This window comes from Homo sapiens, chromosome 2 (assembly GCF_000001405.40).
Source record: "Homo sapiens chromosome 2, GRCh38.p14 Primary Assembly".
Taxonomy (NCBI): domain Eukaryota; kingdom Metazoa; phylum Chordata; class Mammalia; order Primates; family Hominidae; genus Homo; species Homo sapiens.
This window is the reverse complement of record NC_000002.12, coordinates 89,222,988-89,249,179: the sequence shown is the minus strand read 5'-3', so window position 1 is coordinate 89,249,179 and position 26,192 is coordinate 89,222,988. Positions and strand designations below refer to the sequence as shown.

The 26,192-nt window shown below is 41.3% G+C and overlaps 1 long non-coding RNA gene, 1 pseudogene, 1 gene segment (V, D, J or C) and 1 further gene, besides 4 other annotated features; 3 read left to right on the top strand and 1 right to left on the bottom strand.

The window, feature by feature from the left end:
• IGK (immunoglobulin kappa locus) overlaps nucleotides 1–26,192 on the bottom strand; it is a 1,378,008-nt gene that overhangs the window by 986,189 nt on the left and 365,627 nt on the right.
• Nucleotides 3,614–3,662: a sequence feature (IGKV2-30 leader sequence).
• IGKV2-30 (immunoglobulin kappa variable 2-30) lies at nucleotides 3,614–4,399 on the top strand. The segment is given in 2 exon segments: nucleotides 3,614–3,662; nucleotides 4,089–4,399. Coding segments are annotated over 2 exon segments (360 nt in total), but the record flags the coding sequence as incomplete, so codon positions are not given.
• Nucleotides 4,089–4,099: a sequence feature (IGKV2-30 leader sequence).
• On the top strand, nucleotides 4,420–7,696 carry LOC107985910 (uncharacterized). The gene is made up of 2 exons (XR_001739586.2): nucleotides 4,420–6,010; nucleotides 6,764–7,696. It is a non-coding gene; the product is annotated as an uncharacterized LOC107985910 (long non-coding RNA).
• Nucleotides 14,269–14,317: a sequence feature (IGKV2-29 leader sequence).
• On the top strand, nucleotides 14,269–14,995 carry IGKV2-29 (immunoglobulin kappa variable 2-29; annotated as a pseudogene). Its single transcript is given in 2 exon segments — nucleotides 14,269–14,317; nucleotides 14,685–14,995. Coding segments are annotated over 2 exon segments (360 nt in total).
• Nucleotides 14,685–14,695: a sequence feature (IGKV2-29 leader sequence).

The window sequence follows — 26,192 nt, the reverse complement described above, 5'->3', positions numbered from 1 at the left end:
TTTGCCTGGACAGTTACCTGCAGCCATAGTCGCACACTCCCCAGAGAGGGAGATGCTGCTATACGCACTCCGCAGTGAGGAGCCATTGTTTTCTCTCCTGTGACAGGGCTACCTCCCAGCCCCTTGGCATCAACCTTACCCTCTGCACTGCCCCAGACCCAGGCCTCCGGGTCTCACCCTGCCCTGGCAACTCAGACAGTAAGCCACCTTTATGTGGACTAGCCCATGCCCAGCCCCAGACCCACCATCACTGCAAGTGCACCCTCGCTCCAGACCTCGTCACTGTGGCTGCTCTGGAAATTGCCAAAGACATCAAAGAAATTGAGACATGTTTATAGGCATACCTCAGAGATATTGCTGGTCTAGTTTCCAATCACTGCAATAAAATGACTATTATCATAAAGGGAGTCACACTCATTTTTTGGTTTTCCAGTGCATATAAAAGTTATGTTGACACTATCTTGTATTCGGTTAAATGTACAATAGTGTTATGCCTAAAAAATGTACATACCTTAATTTTTTAAAACTATTGCTGAGCAATACTGACATAGAGACAGGAAGTAAGAACCTACCACTGGAAAAACGGCACCAAAAGAGTTACCTGAGGCAGAGTTGCCACAAACCTTCAATTGGTAAAAATCTCAGTATCTATAAAGCACAGTAAAGCAAAACACAATAAAAGGAGATATGGCTGTATCTTGAAAAGGATGAGAGCTTTGGGTAAGGACAGTGTTAGGTTTTGAAGGGAAGGGAAGGGTTAAAGAAAGACAGAGAGAGAGTTGGCGGCTCTACAGCAAAGCAGGTTTTATGTCCAGCACAAGACTGTGGAGGTGGGGGACTAGCTTAATACCAGAACCCGCTGCCGCTTACAGGCTGGGGTACTTATAGGTATGGGCGGGAGGGGTCTAGACGGTATTACTTGCTGCCCGGCAGGACGTTGATAACATGTTCCTGTGGTCAGGCGGTTTTGCCAAGGATGTTCCTTGGGCCTTTTGCCCAGCGGGGCGTGATAAGAATGTTTCTTGGGCCCACTGTCCAGCAGAAGACGATAGGGATGTTCCTGTATTCACGTGGTTAGGCAGGATGTTTCTCACAGTTCCAACCCCCCGTGTAATGTTTCACTTTAACCAAGGTCTACAAAATGGCAGGGGGGCTTACAAAATGGTGCACCTCGGACTAACAGATAGGAAAAGTCTATGGCCTTTTGCCTGGAACTGCTTTTTTTCACCCAAGCTTCGTCAACAAGAATTTTAGAACTGTAGTTTTACCAGCTGAAATGGCAGCAACAACTGGAAGCTTGTTGCCAAACGGGATTGACTTGAGCTGGGTTGGAGAGTAGAACAAGATCCTTCAGTGTTTTCAGCTAATGGTGCTGAACTCTGCAGGAAATGCCCAGAAAAGGCCCAGAGTTTTGCAAGTCCAAGGTGATGACCCTGGGAGACTGGTACACCAGCTAAAACTTGATAATGGATTACTGGAAACCATGGAGTCATAGAATTATAGAGATCATCCCTGCACACATTCTTAGAATGAGCAGATGTGACTTAGAAATTGCATATTTGAGTGACAGAGACCCAAGTGGGCCCAGTGAATAAAAGTGAAGGAGGTGTCTTTTATGGGCACGCTTCAAGCCACACACATATACATTGGCAGAAAGTAGATTATTGAGGTCAAGGAGTTTGAGCAACACAAATGCCTAAGTTACTGGTGATTACCAAACTGTGCAGACACAGGTAGGGCTTCTGGCTAAAACTTAAAATGAAAAAAATCAGAAATATCAATCGCCAAACAGCTAGTAAGGGATAGATTCTGCAGCATAAGACCAGTCAATTAAGAGGAAATTCAACAATCTTAGAAAAATAAAACAGAATGCAGAATTATATATTATTTGTGAGACATAAAAAATATATTATCAACCGGCATTTTTCCATTAAAATTCCTGAAAAGAAAGAGAAAATCATAAACCATATTGAGATAAATCAGTCAGTGGAAGCTGACTCTTGACTGTTCCTAAATACTGGATTTTGCTAAGAGTTTTAAGTGGTTGTCACATAAATGCTTCAAAGAATATTCAAAACTATGAGCAAGGACTGAAAAAGGAAAATATAAAGACAATTACTCAAAGAATGAGAACTCTCAACAGAGAAAGGGAAACTATGGGAAAGGAACAAATAGGAATTCTAGATGAAAACTATAAAAACAGTATGGAAAATTCACTAGATAGGGCAACAGGAGTTTAAGTTGGCAGAAGCATCAATGAGCCTGAAGACAATTTAGTAGAAATGATCTAATCTGAAAAAGAAAGAAAATGACTAAAGAAAAATAATCATGACCTTAGAGGTTTACAAGTCAATGTGAAGAAGACCAGAAATATGCAATGAGTCAGAAAGGAGAAGACAGAGAAAGTGGCCAAAAAAATTTTGGAGGGATGACAAAAGCTTTCAAGAAGCAATGAAACTCATTCGTCTATAGATAAAAGAAATTGAAAGAACTTATTCAGGACAAACACAATGATACACATAACTATACATATTATAATTAAAATGCTGAACCAGCGACAAGGAGGAAATCGCAAATGCACAAAAATAAAATGACTCTCTATATACAGAAATACAGTGATAAAGCCATCAGCTAACTTTTCATCGTGCCCAAAGGAGGCTAGAAAACAGCGGAATGACATATGTAAATGCAGGGAAACAAAACAAAACAAAACCTAGGATTCAATATCCAGTGAAAGTATGCATTCAAAATAAAAGTAAAGTAAAAACATTTCTTGATAAACAAAAATGAAGAGAAATAATTACTTAAAGACATGCTGTATAACAATTTATCTAGGAAATTCTTCAGATTCACAAAAAATGACAGCAGACAGTAACTTGAATCTGTAAGGAGGAAGGAAGGCCTCAAAAGTACTAAGGGAACAAAAAAAGAGCTAGACCAAACCAACATGTTTACTTCCGTTTATATGAGGTTTCGTATAGGGAAAGCCAATCTATTTGGACAGATGTCAGAATGCCAGTTTCCTTGATTGGGATGGGGAAACAGCTGTTTCCTGAAAGGTAGGTACATGAGGGAAGAATCTGGAGATTCTGCAGTATTCTACAGTTTAATCTCGGTGGAGAATATATGTAAAACTTTATTCGGTTGCACTTTTTAACATTTCTGTCTTTTACTTTGTGTGTGTTTTATTTAAATTTTTAAAAAATTGAAAGGGCCAAATCTGAACTCTTTTAAACAAAAATGAACAAAAACATAAGAATTAGTAAATATTTGTGGAAACATGGCCTTATTAACAAGAAGTATAAAATGTGCCTGGGAGAGTACTATGAAACAAGAAATCTGTTAGGGAAGACAGAAGGAAATACTTAAATTTCTCCAACATAGACAGCATAGATTTTATGCCTATTCGTTTCCCTCCAAACAGAGAAGATATTTAAGTCATTTTGCTCACAAGAGAGGCTCCTACCCTCCCCTTGGCTCTTTCCACCCCACTGCACCCACCAGGTGATTTGCATATTATCCCTTAGTGAAGACTTTCCTTGTGAGTCTGAGATAAAAGCTCAGCTCTACCCTTGCCTTGACTGATCAGGACTCCTCAGTTCACCTTCTCACAATGAGGCTCCCTGCTCAGCTCCTGGGGCTGCTAATGCTCTGGGTCCCAGGTAAGGGTAGAAGGGAGATGAGGGAGGAGAATGGCATGGAACGGTGAGTTCTGGGGCCCCACTGCCTCTAACAACAGTGATCTCTGGGGGTCTCACTACACTCCTATGTGTGTTCCTTTCCTGTATTGGACATGCACATGTTGTCCTCCAGAGTGGGGCATGTGATGATCAGATCTGTGAGAGTGAGGAAGATTCAAGCAGAAACAAGGATCTGTGCTCTGGGGAAGACTGACACAGAAAGGGGATGGTGTGGGGTCTTCTGGAGACCCCTTTGAGCCTTGGATCCCTTGAGTTCCATTTTGAAACTGTGTATTTTTGAAATATGAACAAATACATATATAGCCTGAAATAAACAACAAATCAAAATTTATGAAAATTACACATAAACTTTATACATAACCTTGCTCTTCTTTCTATTTATTTCAGGATCCAGTGGGGATGTTGTGATGACTCAGTCTCCACTCTCCCTGCCCGTCACCCTTGGACAGCCGGCCTCCATCTCCTGCAGGTCTAGTCAAAGCCTCGTATACAGTGATGGAAACACCTACTTGAATTGGTTTCAGCAGAGGCCAGGCCAATCTCCAAGGCGCCTAATTTATAAGGTTTCTAACCGGGACTCTGGGGTCCCAGACAGATTCAGCGGCAGTGGGTCAGGCACTGATTTCACACTGAAAATCAGCAGGGTGGAGGCTGAGGATGTTGGGGTTTATTACTGCATGCAAGGTACACACTGGCCTCCCACAGTGGTACAGCCCTGAACAAAAACCTCCCTGTGGAGTGGCCCAGCTGCCCACATGTGGTGCTTGTCTGGGGAGCAGCTCAGCAGGGTCTCAGAATCTGTGTAAGAGGAAGATGCTGGAGAACCAGGGAACAATTCACATCTGAGGACTCTGGACTTTGAGAGCCCAGCCACACCTCAGGCACCACTCCTTTATGCCCTGCCAGTTGCCACCACCTTGACTGTCATAAGCAGCAGGAGAATGAGGGGTCCAAGTGCCCTGTGAGTAAACAAGCAAGATGGAAGGGGGAGGAGAATGAAAGCTCACCCTAACTCTCCCTACCTTGTGTCCATTTGTTAATTAAATGTAATTAGCAGAGCAGCCAGGCCATTGACACAGATTGTGACTATCCATGTTGGATACATCTTTGGGTTTAGCAGTTTTTGGCATATTGTTCAGAGGACATTTGATAATATTTAATGTTGGTATTTTGCCAGTTTTCTAACTTCCTGCTTCCCCTTTTCTCCCACTCCCAAAATAGAGTAGAGACAGCATTCTATACCAGTTATCCTAAGCGGAAGCTGGCTGAGGACAGTCAGTAAAAATCTTGATTTTGGAGTATCAAATAGATTTTTGTAAATTCATAGAAGATACAAGATCCTAATGCTAAAACTGTTTAGTTAGCCTTAGTTACCTCTTAATGATAGAAAAAAGGAGTACCTGAAATTCCAGAAGTTGTTTTCAAAAATAAAAAGCATATACTGGAAAATGTAGAGTATATAATTTTTCCCATAGAAAACTGGAAAAGTACAGAATGATGTGAACGTTTTTATTTCCAAATGTTAAGAATTTAAGATTGGGCAGACATTAGGGATGAAAGCATGAAGGAAACCCAGGAGAGGTCAGCTTCAATTAAACTACCCTTGGCCTTTGGTAGGTAGGGATGTGGATGGTGGTGGAGTTGGCAGTTCATGATGTGGACCCAGGAGGCCTGATGTGTTTCTTGTGAAGAATCACAGAGTTGAAGGCACCACTACCTGGCTTCCTGGGTGGAGCCTGCATCACTGCGAATTTTCTGGGAAAATAATGCTTTGGGAAGGGTTTTAGATCTGTAATCACCAAAGGCTTAGTGAAATCCCTGTGCAAGGAGACCTGAGGTCATGTCACTCATATCTTGTCAACCCCACACAGCCAAACAGAGCATCTGAAACTCATTCTGTCCCTAGAGACTGCTGGTTGGGTCTGGAGATGTCACAAGCACTGACATGCTGAGCAGAAGGCCCAGCAGGGTCTACACCAGCAGGGGGCGCAGTGGGGATGGAGACCAGTGTCCATGATTCAGACATGTATTCGGGATACATGTATCTGTGTAGCCTTGGGGATTGGGGGAGCATGCTGAATCTGTGGAAGTTTTATGTCCTTGTAGCCCAGCACCTCCATCCCTGCCTGCTGACTCAGACCTCAACATGTGTCCCATGGAAAGCACGGGCCACTTATAGAGGCTGCCCTGTGCAACCCCCAAGGCTCAGCTGGATTCTCCTTTCCCAGGAGAGCTCCTCTGCCTGTACCAAGTCAGAGCTTGTTTCCACAGGCAAACTTGGCGGCTATGGCAGAAGGACAAAAAGTCAGGTGAGCATCAGCTCAACAATGAAAGGTTCTTTTTACTATGGAATTTTAGATCATTCATTCCTTATTCCTTCCACTACTTTCTAAAGTCATTTAATTCTAACTTTGGTATTCTATTGTTTTAAATGGTTTGTACCTTTTGCAGTGGTTGTTTTGGCCTTTCCACTTCTATCTACATTGCTGTACCTGGGAATGAAGATTCCCTTCATTTTTTTTTAAACACAAATAAAGTTTTAGAAGTGACTATGTTGGTACTATTTAGTCAAAAAAAGTAAAACATTTTTAAACAATAAATTAATGTATTATTTTCACTGTACCTTGTCAGTACTTGGACATAAACCTGATTCCCACATTCTAACAATAGTGATATAAAAAATGTATGCTTTCCATAGAGTCAATTTAAAATAGTTCTCTATGAATATTTGTGAATTAGTAATGAGCCTGTGATTTACGTCCTATAGTGTGGTATGACTAAAGTAAAACAATGTTGCAATCAACAGGATAAAGTAATCCAGATTTAGATTAAAGAAATATGTTACATTCGAGATAATTTTCTATTAAAGATAATGTATTCCATGACAAGCATAATTAAATCTGTAGTTTTAACCAGACAGACAACATATACAGTAAAAATTTGGTTTATAGCAAGTGGTGTATAAGACAAAATTAATAACAAGTCTCCAGAGTATATTTTTACACATACCAAAAAGTAAGGACACACATACAATCAAAATTTTATTCATTTCTTCATCACAGGCACCAGTTTGGAGCCTGGAGATGCTGCACGTTCTCCTGTGAGCAGAAAACTCACCAGGACCCTGCACAGCCCGAGGGCCTCAAACGCAGCCTCCCTAGGAGGCTCAGCCTCTCAGTGCAGCACCAGCAACTGCAGCGCCCAGAGATGGAGTCCACAGCAGATGGGCTCAGGTGAAGATGGCTGGAGAGCCTTTGAAGAGGAGGTCATGAGTCCTCACTTACAGGCATGGGCTCTACTTCTGTGCGAACAGGGCCAGGGCCCCCAGGAAGCCTCCCAGAGCCTCTTCCTTCCTCCCAACTTAGGGTGTTCAGGCCCCACAGACTCTCCAGGGAGTGGCTGCCATGTCCTCTCTGGAGCAACCATGAAGTTCCCTGCTGCCCTCATGGCTTCAGGGATGCTCGTTCACGTCACTGGGACGGGATCCTGGTGGGTCGTGACCTCACCTGCTGCCTCTGATGACCTTCGGGGCACTTTGTCCTCCCTTTGCCAAATGACCTCACTCTCACCAACACTCTGAGGATTGAAAGTTGTCTGCACTGCATGATTTTTGCTTTTGAGCAAGTCAAAGCTCACAGGAGTCTCACACATGCATAGCCTGTATTAATATTACACACAATTCCTATTTTCACTTTTCCTATCTTCTTCCAATTTTCTCTGCACACTTACTTACTCTGCCCATCCACTTTCTCCTGTGAAGCTGCTAATGTGGGTTTTTATTTCCAGGCTGATGTGATTTCCTTGCTGCAATACTAGACATGTGCTCATCACATGCCCACATTTTTAAGAATAAAGTATTTTGAGCACAATTTGCTCTTCTTGTACTTGTATGTCAGGGTGGCAGCTCAGGGGATCGGTTTGAAAATTTATTTGCTAAAATGCATGAATATTTCTAGAAATTCGGTGTTATAAATTAAATGTCTTCTTGCATCCCACAACTTTTGATATGTGTTTTCTTTCACTTCAGATTGCTTTGAAATGTCCATCTCTTGGTTTCATCTTTGTCCCAGGCTTTATTTAGTAGTATGTTACATAGTTTTAAAATATTGAGATTTTTTTCTGATAGCTTTCTGTCATTGATTCCTAATAAATTTCCCTTGGCTTCTGAAACTTTATTTTATATGATTTAAATCCATTTAATTTCTTTGAAATAACTTGTGGCCCAAAGCATGATCTCTCTTAGCTAATGTTTTAAAATGGCTATGGAGTCTGCTGTTGTGGCAGAGTGTTCTCTCAGTGTCAATCCTACCCACATGGTTGATGGCTTTGGCAAGTCATCTGTATCTGCATGGGCCCAAGAGACACTGTTGCCTACAGTGCAGGCTGGAGCTGCTGCAGAGCCCTTTTCTGCCCTGGGTCTCCACTAAAGGCTGGGAAGACTTCCATGTCACCTGGATGGTGACATGACCAGTATTCCACGGTGTAGAATCTGTTGCCTCTAGATTCCAAAAAGGCCGCTGTGAGCTTCCTTCATTTTTTTAAATAAAGACTCTCATGAAACAGAATGGAATGGAATACATATACCTATCATCAGGAACTCTGATTCTCTCCAAGTTTATGAAGCACATACTATCGTAACCTTATTGATTTGGGTAAACCATTTAATGCCATTTGATGGCAGCTATAGAGCTGAGTACCCAGAAATATGAGCTGCAGTGCAATACCAGCTGGGAGAGGTCAGCCTCCCAACCATAGCCAGAGTATGACCAGGCAGTCACAAAGAGTTCTCCAGGAATTTTCTGATAATTTTCCTTGTGTCAGGGCAGTTTCTGGCCTGGCTTTCTAATGAGGAAGGGGTAAAAGTTGACACTGTGATGTCCTGACTTCTACTGCACCAACTCTTACCCAGTCCTTCTGTCAATAACTCAGTAGGCTACACAAGTCAAATTCTCGATAAGTATATTAAACCTGGTCTAAAGTTTTTATTTCTTTTATGGATTTGCCTATTCCATTAAACATTTTAATATCTTGAATACGGTTGTGCAAATCATGCCTCTCAGTCTCTCTGCAAATATTAATATTGGGGCAAATTTAATAACAGTTTTCTCATGATGTCATATTTTCTTACCAGTTCTGAATAAGCTGAACTGTATGTAATGACAAATATTATAAGCTAGTTTGAGCTCAAGACAAATTACTTTTACTGAAATTTAATACCTTAGCATCAACCTGGAAACAAAAGATGTTGCTCAAGTTTAAAGGTCTATTCATGAGTATCATAAACTTGCACATATTTGCTACAGTATTCCACAGGATCAATAGGTTTTCTGTTTTAATGTGCTAAATATAGACACTTTTTGTGCAATCAGATTTTCTGGGATAAGCGGATAACAGAGATTCTCATATTAGGCTTTAAATTCTACCTAGGACTGCTAGGATTTCACAATACAAAAAGTCATTTTCTAGGTTGACGATATTCTTCATTTTCTAGGGTAAGAACATTAAATAGGAGTAAGAGCTGGTAAAGTAAGTCTCTAAGACACAGTCATATCTATAGTCCTTTGTTACACTTTATAATTTCATGCCCTGACTGCTTCTAGGAGATTAAAATTTATTTTATTTAACTTTATTTTATTACTGATCTTGCATTCTTTTCTTGCTAGGATATATTTTAGAAAAACAAATTTGGAGAAGTACTGAAATTTGAGCACAGTTAATGCTTCATAGCGCATGTGAACTTTGGGTGATCGTTGACTCCTGGCCAAGAAAGGACCAGTAAAAGTGAAATTTACCACTATGACATGAAGCTGCTGCTTCCATAAGGCAGAGTCACCATTTCCAGGTGTCCATGTAGAGGCTGTGCAGTTATTGTTATTATTACCATTATTGTTGTTATAACAAGGAATGAACACCAGGTAATTTGTTCAGCCCCTGCCTCTTTCTTATTCTGAACTTTAGATTTTTATGAACAGGAGTTGACAGGAAGAGGCTAAAAGAGAATTTCTGTTGATTTTATAAATTAAGTGATTTGATTTTGTCTCTGATTTTTTCCTGAAGGTCTTAACATTTCTGCATTCAAAATGTATATGAGTATTTTGTTGATCTTAAAATTAATATAAAATGAGTAATAAATGTCAAAATTCTCAAATTATAATTTTAATTTTTCTGTAGGTGAACCATGCTCTCTAAATTAAAAAGTAAGAAACAAATTTATTTGTCTTCTTGGTATATTCATACAAATTTTTACATCACAGGCAGTTTCCACTGCAGTTTAAAAGGCTCAAATTCCCGATTCCGTCCCCAGAATCTTCTTGGGGTCTCCACCCTCCACCTCTCAATTAAACCAAGCTTTAATATAAGGTCAAAAAGACAACTTTCATGTTCACATGGTGGAAAAAATTAATAACCTTCCAGGCAAGTTGTGATTTTCTAGAAACCTACTTTTGAGGAGTGGTTTTATAGAGACCTACTTTCTATAAGGGTGAGAATTTCGAGGGAACTTATAAGATGCAGAAGGCCCAGGGAGGCAATGGAATTATTGTTTCGCTTTTTGTATTGATGTTTGGTGAGGTGGGCTCTGCAGAAAGATTAACATGCATGAAGGAAAACTCCAGCACTGAATCTCACAGCTCAGTCTGTTGTTTTATAGGACTTTTTTCCATTTTTTTTTAAGCAAAAGGAAAGACAAATAATCCAAACGTTTAGAAACAGTTTCAGATTTGGCAGGTTAGAACAGGGTCTGAAGACTCAGAAACATGTTACATGTTGCCTTCCAGGTCAAACATGTAAACAACTCTGTTTTCTCCAGTTTTTAGAGAGAGAAATTCTCAGAAGCACAAGATATAGACGTACAAGAAGCCTTCATTCCCTGAGCTCTCTGTGTACCAGAATATTTATCCATGAATCTATGCCCCAGTGGTGACAATTTTCAGTTAGTGAGATAATGCAGACAGCTTCAATCTCAGGTGTCTGGAGCCAGGAATCTAGTCACAGGACCTGCAGCGTCAGAGACTGAAGCTCCCTTTGTAGGTGACTTGGTCTTTTTTTTTTTTTTTTTTTTTTTTTTGAGACGGAGTCTCGCTCTGTCACCCAGTCTGGAGTATGGTGGCGCCATCTCCGCTCACTGTAATCTCCGCCTCCCAGGTTCAAGCCATTCTCTTGCCTCAGCCTCCAGAGTAGCTGGGACTACAGGCGCCCGCCACCACGCCTGGCTAATCTTTTGTATTTGTAGTAGAGACAGGGTTTCACCGTGTTAGCCAGGATGGTCTCCATCTCCTGACCTCGTGATCCGCCCGCCTCTTACACAGGGGCAAACTCTCACTTTTAGTCAGGAAAAACCTCCATTGAGGTCCAGGTGGAGAACAGGCCTCTGTATGTCTCAATCTCCTCCAGAACAGTGTGAGTTTCCCTGTTTGGACAAGTACAGTCGGCAGAAAAAAGTTTACAGAATGTGTGACAGTGTTGTAGAAATGAGCTAAAGATGGCCAGTGCAAACTGCCCCTATGTGGTGTGTTTCTAAACTGCAGGCTATTTCTAAATGGCCTGTGCCACACTCAAGTTTTCCAATCCAATCATTTCAAAAACAGCCCAAAGATTATTTTTTTTTTTTTTTTTGAGACCGAGTCTTGCTCTGTTGCCCAGGCTAGAGTGCAGTTGCACGATCTCTGCTCACTGCCACCTCTGCCTCCCGGGTTCAAGCGATTACCCTGCCTCAGCCTCCTGAGTATCTGGGACTACAGGCGCCTGCCACCACACCTGGCTAATTTTTTTGTATATTTAGTAGATATGGGGTTTCACCATGTTAGCCAGGATGGTCTCCATCTCCTGACCTCATGATCTGCCCACCTTGGCCTCCCAAAGTGCTGGGATTACAGGCGTGAGCCACTGCGCCCAGCCCGAAAGAAGATTTTTAGCCATTCAGAGAATGCTTGCTTTTCATATCACAGGAAACCTCACCCACATCTGTTAGCAGTAGGTAAGATAAGCCCCAGGAGATGAAAATTGCAAATCACTCCTGCCCTCTGGATATCTCAGACCCAGATTAAGCTGTTGTCTGGCTACCCCTAGACAGAGAATGCCTTTCTCCAATGTTCCTTTACCTTAGGATTTCCCTTGTTCTCCACCTTTTCTGAGTAGCAGCCCCAACATCTTTCATTCTAGACAGTCTCCTGCTGTGAGGGACTCCTTTGGGCAAATCTGTCAAAGCTTCACCCAACAACAGTCATGTGTGCTACTGCCACCCTATGGACATCTCTTTCTGTTTGATCAGAACCTCAATTTTTCAAACTCTCTATAAACAGGACCACACTATCCACCCCACAAACACTGACTCCAGCATAATGGACACAATTCCACCTCCGAGGCTGTCTTCTCAAGTCATACAAATAATACACTTGCCTTCAATTTTATGGACTGCAAACTAACAGCATCTGGCAAGTGAGATGCAATAAACCCCACCCGGATGAGTCCTTCCTCATTCGACTGATCATGGTCCAGATTCGAGAAATACAGAGGCCGCTCCACAATTGAATCAAATAGAGGCTGTTCTTCTACCTTTTTAACTGTGTCCAGCATGGAGCGACCAGCTTTGTCTGCTGTTGTGAAGCCTCTGTGTACTCTATTTAAACCTTCAGGAGAGAGGGGTTCCTCTTTAGAATTAAGAATATTATTCTCTAAGTTTAATAATGTAGGGTAATTTCAAGGCCTTTAGTATAGGGTAATTTCAGAGCCTTTTTATGATTGAAACAATTTTTTACAAGGTTTTACATTTTCAGATATGTAATGACAAGAGATTATGAGATAAAACAACCAATCCCAATCGTAAACTTTTTAAAGCTCTGTCATTAATTTTCAAAGGAAACAGCAGTACTCTCTGAAATTCAGCACCTTAAAGAATACTTTGTAAAACTAAGATTTTGAAGAATTGACTAATAGTAAAAGCAAGCCTGACAGATTTATTACTGTTATTCGTTTTCCCACAATGCAAGTTTCTATATAGGATAGTGGGTGGAACTGATTATTCAGTTAACACCTTTTCAGACTAATCCGTTTATACCAGTGATAAGATGTACCTTAATGTTCTCTTTTAGATTGTGTCTTTACTTTTATTTTTCTTTTCAGCATCTGATGTTTCTGACTCTTTTAACTATTATGATGAATTAGGAGTTTGACATTTCCAAGGCTAAGAACCATATTTGACCTGCTCAGCATCACAAGAAAAAAGAAGTCAATGCCAGGCACCGTGGCTCACTCCTGTAATCCCAGCACTTTCAGAGGCCAAGGCAGGTGGATCGCTTGAGGCCAGGAGTTCGAGACAAGCCTGGCCGACATGTGGAAACCTCGTCTCTACTAAAAATACAGAAATTAGTTGGGCATGGTGGAGAATGCCTGTAGTCCCATCTACTCCAAAGACATGAGAACTGCTTGAACCCAGGAGGCAGAGGTTGCTGTGAGCAGAGATTGCACCACTACACTCCAGCCTGAGTAACAGACAGAGACTGTCTCAAGAAAAAAAAAAAGTGAAACACATAAGATTTACAAAAAGTGATGAAAGAATAGAATAAATAAAAATTTAAATAGTGAAATATGATACATTTATTCTAATCCTACTTCCACACTACAATTTGATATTCTCAATTTAGGTTACTGCCATGACGTTCAACGTTTTAAGGTCAATATCATTTTTACTCAATTTTTTTCACCAACTTTGTTAAAACATCATATGCCAGTGCATTTCCCGGAAGATAATCAGGACAAGCTTTGTGTGCAAAACACCTAGAGCTCTGTTTTGCTTTTCTGGGTGTGTGTTCTTTACCAAGTAAATCAGATGTTGTATTAAATCACTGAAGATTACATAGCACTAGAAACTATTCTTTTAATTGCTCCCAGGATTTTTGTTGTTTTTTTCAGGACAGTGGCAGTCTCTGTGAAGTGATTTGATGTACGCACCGTTATTCAGGAGCAGCTAAATTCAATATTAAGCACATCACTGACAAATGAAGAATACTCAAGTTGTTTTCCTATTGTAACGATGAGTTGTGTGGTAGATTCATATGCCTGACCTGTGATCATCTTTCAATAAAAACCTAGGAAAATGTCGTCCATAGTACTGCTGACCCTGAGACTTAAAACCAGGGATCCAGTTCTTGCTCTTCCTACATAGAGAATCTCATTTTGAACTGTGGTGTCATGGCTGTGGCTGTGCCACATACAGGCCAGGGGGAGACAAGGGTTCACCCTCAGAGTTGACAAGAATTTGGAAGCCCTGACATCCTATAAAACGTTACTTGCCCAAGATTGAAACTTTCAAATTCAGGTCCTTCTTCCTCCTCTATGATGAATTAGGTTTTATTAGTTTCCTCCAAGGGACACTTTATATCACATTGCTCACAGAGAAGACATATCTACCCCCTTCACCCCCCACCCAATGGCTCTTTCCACACCACTGCACCCACCAGGTGATTTGCATATTGTCCCCTAGGGAGGACCTTCCCTTGTGAGCCTGAGATAAAAGCTCAGCTCTAACCTTGCCTTGACTGATCAGGACTTCTCAGTTCATCTTCTCACCATGAGGCTCCCTGCTCAGCTCCTGGGGCTGCTAATGCTCTGGATCCCTGGTAAGGATGGAAGGAGATGAGGGAGGAGGAGGGGGTGGGAGGCTGAGCTCTGGCGGCCCCACTGATTCCCGTGTTTATTCTAACCATGTGTTAAAGGAATATGCCCTATGCTCCAGGGAGAGGAATTCATATTTTGCCCTGATGATGATTTGAAAACTCCTAAAAGCAGTGCTCTGAATAATATCTTGAGAAATGAAAGAACTCTTGTGCCTATTTAATAAAGGGTTCATTTAAAATTTTGTTTTTATGATATGAATACAAATTTGTAAAAATAAAAGATTAGCCATAAATCAATATCATAAGGCAAATCTCAAAAGTTGTTCATTATGCTTTCACATAACCTTGCACTTCTCTCTCATAATTTCAGGATCCAGTGCGGATATTGTGATGACCCAGACTCCACTCTCTCTGTCCGTCACCCCTGGACAGCCGGCCTCCATCTCCTGCAAGTCTAGTCAGAGCCTCCTGCATAGTGATGGAAAGACCTATTTGTATTGGTACCTGCAGAAGCCAGGCCAGTCTCCACAGCTCCTGATCTATGAAGTTTCCAGCCGGTTCTCTGGAGTGCCAGATAGGTTCAGTGGCAGCGGGTCAGGGACAGATTTCACACTGAAAATCAGCCGGGTGGAGGCTGAGGATGTTGGGGTTTATTACTGAATGCAAGGTATACACCTTCCTCCCACAGTGGTACAGACCAATACAGAAACCTCCCTGCTGGGGTGTCCCAGCTGCTCACTTGCACTGCTTGTCTGGGGAGTAGCTCAGCAGGGACTCTGAGTCTGCAGAAGAGGAGACTGTTGGAGAACTCAGGGGCAGGGCTTGCTGTTGAGGACTCTGGCCCATGAGAGTCTCAGCAGCACCTCAGTCCCACATGGTCAAAGCTTTATCAGTTGCCAGGCTCATCCTCACCCTGCCTGTCTTGCCCACGTTTGCCGAGTACACTCAATCAGCATAACAGCCAGAACATAGATGCAGTTTAGTGACAACACAGGTGGAATACATGTGGCAAATGACCAGCTTGGGGTTTATTTTACACAAATTAATACTTGGTGATAATATTTGGAATTATTGCGAATTTGGTATTTTCCCACTTTCCTTACTTTCTATTTCACTTTACTACTCACACTAAACTGCACTTTCCAGTGTCATGTGGGAGAACGTGTTCTATACAAGCTGTCCTCAGGGGGAGTATGGATAAGAATAATTAGAAAAAAAATGTTTGATTTCTGACTATTCTTAGACTTTGTAAATCCATGGCAGATATAAATCTTAATGCCAAAAGATTTTGATTTGCCTCAATTACGTTTTTCCCAGTGAAGAGGGAGTTCTTGCAACTCCAAAAGTGAGCTTCAGAAATAAGCAGCACTGGCCGGGTACAGTGGCTCACGCCTGTCATTCCAGCACTTTGGGAGGCCGAGGTGGATGGATCACCTGAGGTCAGGAGTTCGAGACCAGCCTGACCAACATGGTGAAACCCGGTCTCTACTGAAAATACAAAATTAGCCAGGGCGTGGTGGCACACACCTGTAATCCCGGCTAGTTGGGAGGCCGATGCAGGAAAATCACTTGAACCTGGGAGGTGGAGGTTGCAGTGAGCTGGAGATAGTGCCACTGCACTCCAGCCTGGGCTACAAGGCGAAATTCTGTCAAAAAAAAAAAAAAAAAAAGCAGCATAAACTGAAAGATGAAAAACACAGAGTTTACTAAATATGCCACAGGAAAAATGCAGAATTATATGAGAGGTTTTTTTTTTCCTCAACCAAATTCTAATTGTAAAAGTATTTATTCTAAGTACTATTTTAGGGATGATAAATTTAGTACTATGTCATCATAATAAAAGGTTTCAAATGTTACAAAAATGTATTATTTACTTATGATAACATCATTACCAGAAAATGAATCTGGATCATATGTTTTAGTTGTAAAAACATAGAAAATTTATTATTTCAATAGATTCCATGTAAAATAGTGTTCTAGTGTTATAATATTCTATCAAGCTCAATGATGAGCTATGTCAGTTACATATTACAATATTGTGTGATAGACACAAAATGATTGAAGCAACAGAACAAGAAGCTCCTGCTTCAGATTTAAGGTTTAAAGTATATTTGAGATGATTTTCTACTCTAAGATAATGGATTTCATGGCAAGTGCAATTAAAATTCCGAAGCGCCATTTCTGTTGGGTTTAGTAGACATTGCAATATTTATATAGAAATCAAGCAGACTGAAACTGTGAAAATAAGAAACATAAGACACTTAATACACTGTTTAAAATGCTAATTAATTCATCATGGAGCTTAAAAGTTATTACAGAATGCAGGGAGAGAAGACAAGCGTAAGTAGCAAGGGCAGGAACTAACCACTGTCATCACCATCTTTGGCCATCAAGTGATTGACAGCACCTAGTGACCTAAGATTCTGCTTTGATGTGAGACAGGGGAAAAGGCCCAAACCACTCAAGGTGGTTGGACACCTTTAAAAACCAAACAAACATACAGCCTACATGGTGCTGATACCTCAAGGGGCGATACTCTCAAGTCAAAATGGTGAAAAATAAATGATTCCAAATACGGAAAGGGATACAAAGAGAATCAGAGCATAATCAAATGTATTACAAAGAAGCTTCAAAATATGGTGGACTGAATGTGACAAGGTTTCTCTGTCTGTGCCATGGCAGTGTAGAGGCAGGCAGGTGGCCTTGGTGGTGTCGGTGGCTCTGCTCCATGAGGTCACTCAGGTGGGCAGGAACCACGACCACCCTCAGCGCACAGCCCTCCTCCTTCCTCACAGTCTCTGCCCCCACGGCCATCCTCAGCAGCATGAGGTGGAGCAGAGTGAAGGGAAAGCTGTTTTCTTCTAAAGGCCAAAGAAAACTCCAGTTTTCCACCAGGGATAAATGTTCTTTTGTGTAAAGCACAGGTTTGTGAAATTTTTCACCAAGTGAATCTTGTGAGAAACTCACACTTTTTGTTGTTTTTAATCTGAAAATGTATTTACATGATTCCTGGAAATAATTTTTTTGAATATGTGATTATATTGTGGCAGTCTACCTGAAGTTGTCATTTACCATTGAGAATTACTGCTAAAAAGTCATTTGATAAAAAAAGACTCATCTGTGACAGACAGTCCTCCTTTGGAAGGACTCTGTCTTTTTATCCCTTTATACCCATTTTAAGCCCTTTGATGGCCTTTGGGTTTTTCTTAAACAATCAATGTATTAAGTTTAATTCATTATTTATGTTTAATAATTAATTTTCAATGTGCACATGTACCCTAAAACTTAAAGTATAATAATAAAAAAAAGAAAAAAAATTAATTTTCACTAGCACAAAGTCAAAAATCCTGAACGTTGCTATGTCAAAGACCTGCCTCTAGATGGCAAACAAACCCCACAATAAACCAAAGAGATTGCCATGATCTAAAAATATTACTTGCATTGTAAGGGTGATGATGTCTGCTTATCAACATGGAGCCCCTAAGGCTGAAATGGGGTCTCATGTGTGACCTGGAGCACCCAGGAGGAGCTTCCAGCGTGCTGTCTTGTGGGGAAACCCCTCTTTGCTCTGTGATCTGAGAATGCAAGCCTGGCCCTATTCCCCTTATGCAGCTGTAGGAGATGATTGAGGTAATTGAGGCTAAATGAGGTCAAAAGGATGGGACCATGATCCAATAGAATTAATGTTCTTATAAGAATAGAAACCAGAGAGCTCTCCTTTTCTCTCTCTCTCTCTCCTCCCTCTTGCCCCTAACTCAACTTTCTACCCACGGTGGCTATCTCCAAACCAGGAAGAAGGTCCTTACCAGAAAGTGAACCTTGTTGGACTTTGATCTTGCAATTTCCAGCCACCAGAAATATAAAAATTAATTTCTGCAGTTTAAGTTGTCCAGCCATATCCATTTTGGTGTTGGAGTCCCAGTGGACTACTACACCATCCTTGCCAGCTCCAAGCAGAATAGGCCTCCAGAGGCTCCCCATGGACATGGGCACCCAGCTTTGTTCCTGTTCCTCCTGCTGTTCTGATTCTCTAGTGAGGAAGGCAGATGCAGGCTTCATCCTATTTGTCTGCATTTTCTACTAGAATGTCTCCTTGAAGATGAAGTGGTTAGCCTGTTTTGCTTTCTGATCAGAACTTCATCAAACTGAATGAACTACTTGTTTGGTATTAATACTTGGGGATGTTCATGTTTGTTTCCGACATAGATGCCAGTGGGTATGTTGTGTGCACTCCATCTCTTACCCCTTTTCCTATGTCCCCAGAGAGAAGGCCACTGTCATCTGTAGGGCCGGCCAGAGTGTTAAGAGCGTTCTATTTTTGCTTGGCTCCCGCAGAAAACAGGCCCAGCTCTGAGCTCCTGTTGGCTCCTGGTTCTCTGTGGATGCAACACCTGCCCGGGTCAGGGTTCAACTGCCTGGACAGATATCACTCTGGCCATCAGCAGTGAAGCTGATCAAGGAACCCCATTGTGAACAGGGTTCCAGCAGCTGTGTGAGTCGTGAAAGCTGGGCCGATAGGTCCCACATGGCTCCAGTCAGAGGGGAGGCTGCCAATAGGCTGTGGAGGGCTTTCATCCTGTGACCACACAGCCACTGACCTCATGTGCTGCTCTGTCTGACAGGATCCCCTATGGGAAGGACCTGCCCACAGGAAGCTCTGGGCACCAAATGTTCCTCCACCGCCTAGCTCCACCGCCTGTCTCCCTGGCACCTGCTGCTCTGTGTTCCTCAGACCCGCTCTGGTCACTCAAAGTTCTCAGCAATGAGCAGGTCAGTGCTCAGCCCTGCAGGGACATGGAGGTAAAGCCTGAGTTTCCTCACTCTCGGGCTCTGCAGTGGGGAAGGAGCCATGGAGTGGTGCACCCATTGCTGGTTTTAAATGTTCCTGCTCAATTTATCACAATTTAAAGTCATGCATTATAACAACAAAGTTATATTTATTTCTGTATAAATACATATATTACATTGATTTATAATATAGATGCAAAATTTAAGAAGATACTTACTTTCAGAATAAAAAAGTGAATAAAATGTCACACATCAGGATTGATATGCCCACCAAGGCTTTGACTTGTCTTGGTGCATGATTGAATTAGGATCTAATAGAAGGAGGCAGAGAAGAAGGTTAGAAATGGACTGTTATTCCTTAGGTTCTCTTAAGGGGGTGGAGGCCAAATAATTCACGGGTTGTCAGAAAATACCCCAGGGCTCTTTCTCAGTTGCCTGGTAACAAACTGGCTGAAGTTTGGTGCTTCTTTTCCCTGGAAAGAGGTGCTATGATTTTCCATAGCTTCCAGGTTGCCAGGAGCTGAATGCCTGGCATATCCAGGCCTTCCTCAAAAAGCTGGTTCCTGAGCTCAGAGTGCTTGGGGCCTGCACATAATATTCCTTCCCTGTGCTGATGGATAGCTCTAGGCTAGGAGAAGCCAGGGGAGAAGGAGAGGCTGGTGTGGGGCTAGAGAAGTGAACATTTCTCTCTGCTTATTGTTTTGTATTTTTAGTATATTTTCCATTCAATGTGTTATACATATCGTATGTGCACAATTATGTTTATTTTATGTAAATATCATCCTGTGAAATATGTCATTATGCTCACTGTTTTTCTACTGAGATGTATGAGTTAAAATATTTCAGTGTTGTTAAGGGTGAAACTTGTCTATTACTTCTCATTGCTGCCTGATGATCCAGTCAAGATGTCAACTACATTTAACCTATGTTCCTGGTAATAGATACCCAGATTGTCTCTAACTCCTCATCTTTAGAAATAATGATACAAAAGCCTCGTGGATATCTCCTTAGTTGTCTTCTAAGAGGTGTGTGTGTTTTGGATTGCGGGGATTATTTGGAAAATTACATGGAGCAAAACTGATGGTTCATAAGAAAATATTTAGTTGACTTGAGCAGTGCCAGAATTTTCTTTGGAAGGCTTACATTGACAGATGTTAAAGCTGGAAACTTTTAAATCAAATTATACCTCTTTTACTCTCAGAAAGAGACAGGTTTAATAACAAAATTGCACAAAGATCAAAAGATTAGCATCCTGCTTTAGAAATCTTTAATCTCCTTCTTCAAGTGAATGAAGCTTTCCTGCAGAGCAAAACAAATTATCTCACATTTAACAATGGAAGAATATGTGACACATTTAAAGTCCCCTTCAGCTGCAAGAGCCTCGGCAGGGCAGAACAACAGCAGAAAGGAGGATGCAGTGGGCTCTGAGCCACATCTTGCCAGAGGAAAGGCTCAATGAAAGCTCATCTTGATTCTTTCTGCCGGTGTGCAGATGCCTAACAAATACAGGTAGCAGAACAGCCAGAAAACTCAGGCCGCTTTGTAGCAAAACAAGTTGAATACACATGCACACATTTAACCAAAATTGGATTGATTTCACTTGCATAATTGTCAGTGTGGAGCCTAGAGACAGTGCACAGACTCCTGTGAGCAGGACACTCACTGGGGCCCTGCACAGTGTGAAGGCCCCAAACACAAACCTTCCAAAAAGGCTCAGCCTCTCAGTGTGGCAGGAGCAGCTGTGGTGCCCAGAGGATGCATCCACACCAAACTCAGGTGGAGGTGGCTGGAGAGCCTTTGAGTTAAGGAGGCCATGAGGCCTCAGTAAGGGGCACGGGCTCTTCTTCTGTATGAATGGGGGCCAGGGCTTTTACAGATTTTGAATAAGGCTATTTTAAGATCCCAAGGAAGAATAAAAGACCAAACTAAATAACTTCTGTTGATTTCCAAAATTAACAAAAGTATTTTTTCAACCATTTAATTCCATACCAAGTTACCACAAATCCAAAATACAGAACATGAAAGAGCCACGGGCTGAATGAATTATTCAGTGGCCATTCTTAGTCTTAAATAATAACACAAGCTCTGCACTAGCAGGTGGAAATGGTGAATTGCCTCTAATGTGGTAGCAGTAGCATAGTAATAAACTTCACTTTTGGAATCAGGGAAATGTGAGACTGGGTAATTTATAAAGGAAAGGTGTTCAATTGGCTTACAGTTCTGCAGGCTGTGCACACATGGTGTGGGCATCTGCTTGGCTTCTGGGGAGGCCTGAGGGAGGTTTTACTTATGACAGAAGGTGAAGCAGGAGCAGGCATATCCCATGGCTTAAGTGGGAACAAGGCAGGTGGGGAGTGGCGTGAGGTACCACATGTGTTTAAACAACCAGATCTCACAAAGTACTCATCATCATGACAGTACTAAACCATGAGGGATGCACCCCCATGACCCCCAAACCTCCCACCAGGCCCCATCTTCAACATTGGGAATTATATTTCAACATGAGATTTGAGTGGGATAAATATCCAAACCATGTCAACATCTATCTTGGCTTTTCTTGGCCGAGAGAGAATAATCCAAAGTTTAAGTGCTCCTTGAAGGACAATTGGCCTCACCTTTTAGTAATTTTAGAAATGTACATGTTAGCTCTTCTAAAATTACCCTTATGCCAACCAAAAAATGAAATATTAGTAGTAAATGACAATTAAATAGAATAGAATAAAATAAATAATTTTGTTTTCCCTAGAACAGTCGTCTGATGAAATCACAAAGTTTACAAATAGCTGGAGGCTAGGATGACTTGTTAGTTACTTATTTAGGCAGCTCTTACACATGTTTCCTATTCTTGCTTTGGAAACTAGTGAACTCCAAAACTCAAAGATTATTTGATTCTTGCGTAGGATGGAATATAGCAGCCCTAGAAGAAATTTAAACCCAATTATGGGAATTTATATTAAACAACTTACTGGGGAGCTCGACTGCACCAAAATTATCTAAGACAAAAGAAAAAGAAGAAACCTGCTGATTAACTTGTTAAATTAAAGGAAATATTTACTGGGAAATTATATTCTTGAGTATGCTTCCAAAAAAGAGCAAGCTTTTATAGCTGGCATGTGGTTTTGAGATTTAATAAAGGTAATTTGCTTGGAATAGAAATTAATTCTTAATAGTGGTCAGAATAGCAGCTCAACAATGTAAAAACCTTATAAACACCCAGGGAAGCTGTGGTTTTTTGGAGACCTTATTTCAGGGACAGAGGTCCCTTTCTTTAAGGGTCAGAACTGAGAAGGAATCTTAGAGGGAATAAAGAATGTAAGGGACACAGAATGCTTAGGGATGCAACAAAATCACTGCCTCACTTTGTGCAGTCTGATGGGGGTGAGATGGGCCCCACAGAAAGATGAACATGCACGGAGGAAAAGCATCCCTGGAAGCACAGGACTCCACTAGCTAATCTCATATCTCAGTGTATACTTTATATCATTTTTTTTCTGTTTTTTTCTAAGAAAGAGGACAATCAATTGAAACATTTGGAAACAGGCTCAGATTAGGCTGATCAAGAACAGGGTCTGAAGATTCAGAAAGGTCAAATATGTAAATATCCCTGTGTCTCCCAGTGTTTAGAGAGATTCTCAGAAGCAGAAGATACCTATCCACAGAGCCCTCATTCCCTGTGTTCTCTGTGTACCTGGATATTTATCCATGAATCTGTGCTCCAGTTGGTCACAATTTTCAGTCGATGAGATAATGCAGACAACTTCAATCTCACGTGCCCTGGAAGCCAGAAATCCAGCGCAGAGGACCTGCAGCTTCACAAAGTGAAGCTCCCTCTGTGGGTGGCTTGGTCTCAGTTCTCACCAAGGACAAACTTTCAACTTTAATAAAACATTTAAAAACCTCCATTGAGGTCCAGGTGGGGAAAAGACTGCAGCGTGTCTTCAGTCTCATCCATAGCAGTGTGGATTTTGTCTATCTGCACTAATATAGTCTTTAGAACAAAGTCTACAAAATGTGCAACAATGATGTATAAGTGAGCCAAAGGTGTCTTGTGTGAACTGCCCATATGTTGTTTGTTTCCAAATTGCAGCTTATTTCTCTATGGCCTGTGCCAAACTCAAACTTTACAATCCTATCATTTCAAAAACAGCCCCCCAAAGCAGATTTTTTGCCATGTAAAGAATGCTTACATTATGTATCTCAGAGAACCTTGCTCACATCTGCTAGAAATAGGTAAGCCCCAGGTTATGAAAACCCCAGACTAATATTTCCCTCTGGTTCTCTCTGACCTAGAGACTCCCCACTGTGCTGCTGTATTGGGAAAAGCTGAGTGTTGGGAGAAGCTGAGGCAGGGCTTGCATGTCTGACATAATGTAAAACAGTCTTGGAACATGTCTGGGGTCCAGGGTCTAAAACCCATTGTGGCGTTTGGAACACCAAGCTCTGTGCTATAAAGGGTGGAAGGCTACCCTGACACACTGTAATCTAAGCCCAGGGCATAAAATCCCTCGTGGCTTGGATAGAATCCAGGGTTCATGGCTCTGGAATGTGTCTACACTTGCTGGCTCCTTGCTCCTTGCTCTCCCAGGTTCGATTGTATCTTGAGTTAAAGGAACCTGCTCTCCATTATCTCAAGTAGCAGAGCGAATGCTAAACCATCACAGCTATAAATCTTGTGCCTAATGCAACGTGCCCTTTTGACCTCCACATTCTCACCACCTTTTTCTTTGTTGGATAACCAATAAATAGCACTGGGCTCCCAGAGCTCGGGGCCTTCGCAGCCTCCATGATCACGATGGCCCCCTGGTCCCACTTTACTTCTCAAACTGTCTTTTCTCAATCCTTTGACTCCACCAGACTTGGTCATCCCCATGACCTGGTGTTGGGTCTGATCACCCCAACACTGCTGTGTGACAACACCTAGACACATAAGCCCCTTATACAGCAAATTTCTTCCTCCCCCCCTTCTGAATAACAACCTTGGCCCCTTGGCCTATAGACAGACTCCTGCTCTCAGGAACTACCGGCAAACCTGTCAAAGCTTCACCCAATAAAAGTTGTGTGTGCTACTGCCATCCTGTGGACATCTCTTTTTCTTTGCCCAGGCTCCAAAGTCCTCAAATGATGTACAAACAACAGGATCACACTCTCCATCCAACCCCACAAACACTGACTTCCAAGGACACAAACACTTCCATTTCCATGATTATCTTCCCATGTCATACAAGTAATACACTTACTTCCAATTTTATGGGCTCCGATCTCACAGCATCAGGCAAAGGAGACACAACTACAGTAAGATCCACCTGTATCAGTCCTTCCTCATTCAGATGACCATGGTTCAGATTAGAGACACACAGAGGCCTGCTTCCCACCTGGATCAAATGGAGACTGTTCTTACACCTTCTTACCTGTGTCCACTGTGGAGCCACCAGCTTCATCCATTGTTATCAAAGCCTTGGCATAATGTGTTAATGTTTGGGAGACAGAGATTTCTATTTGGAATTAGAAATATTATTATTTAAGTACATAGGTAGTATAGGGTAGCTTCAAAACTTTTTTTTGCACCAAATAATTTTTATAAGATTTTACATTTTCTGAATACGTAAGGGCAACAGATTCTGAAGTAAATTACCAAATACAATGGCAGACTCCTTAAAGCTTTGTTGTTAATTTTCATAGCGAATAGCAATACTCTCTGAAATTCAAAAATATTAAAGAATATTTTGTAAAAATAACATATTCTTGAATTGCCTTGCAAAAGAAAGCACGAAAGATTTTTTATCATTTGTCATTTTCTCTCAATTCAAGCATCCATATTAGATGGTAGATAGAACTGATCCTTCATTTAACATACTTTCAGAGTAATCCTTTAAAACCAGACATAATGCATTCAATAGTGTTCTTTTTTGTTAGTATGTTAAGTTTAGTTTGCATTTATTATTTTTTCTTTCCACCTACCAATATTTCTGAATCCTTTCACTAGCATGATTAATTAAGAGTCTGAAATTTTCAAGACTAAGAACCTGCATTGAATTGGTCAACATCATGGGATAAAAAAGTTAAATACACAAAACTTACAAAATTAAATAAAAGAAAATAATAAATATTTTAAAGACTGGAATATAAGACTTTTATTGTACTCCTACCTCCTCATGATAATTTGTGGTCATCAACTCAGAATATTAACATGGAGTTCGACATTTAAGATCATTTTTACTCAATTACTTTTTCCAATCTTGTTAAAAAGTCTTATTTTGGTAGATTTCCCAAAAGATATGCAGACCAAGCTTTCTTGTGGGATCATACTTAGAACTGCATTTGTTTGTGTTTTTTACCAAGTAAGCATGACTTTGGGTTAAATTACCCGAGATTACATAGTACTGCAATCTATTACGTTGGCTCTCCCCAGATGTTTTCTCTCCAGGACAGTGCGTGTCCTTGTGAAGGGATCTGATGTAGGCACAATCTTTCAAGAGCTGTTCAACTCAATCTTGAGCATATCATTGACAAACAAATAGTTGGATTGTTTCCCTGTTTTCATGATCAGCTGTGTGGTAGATTGACATCTCTGAGCTGTGATCGTCTTTACATGAAAGCTCAGGAAAATGCCAGTCATGGGTAATGGTGACCATGAGACAGTAAAGCTGTGGATCCAGTTCGTGCTCTTCTTACATAGAGAATTTCCACTCGAATTGTGAACTCATGGCTGTGGCTGCACCACTTACAGGCCCAGGGGACACTCAGATCTCACTTGGTAGTTGACGAAAAACTGGAAGTCCTGATAGGACCTCATTCCACATGATGAGGAAGACTGTGGGAAGAGCTTTTGTTAACACCATTCAGAAAAACATAGTGCAAAGTTAGTTTTTGTTCTTTCTATATAATTATCCTAGAAAAGTCTTCCCTTAATAAATCCTTCTGGTTAATCTGGCATATGTGAGATGATTATGATGGGATATATACCAGATTGAACAATTGGTCACCAGGAATTTTATATTCACTGCCTGAGGAATAAATTGTTTCCCACTTTCCTCTTACCTGCACTGGGCTCTTGAATCTAAATATAGAGACCCACATTATTTTCCCTATG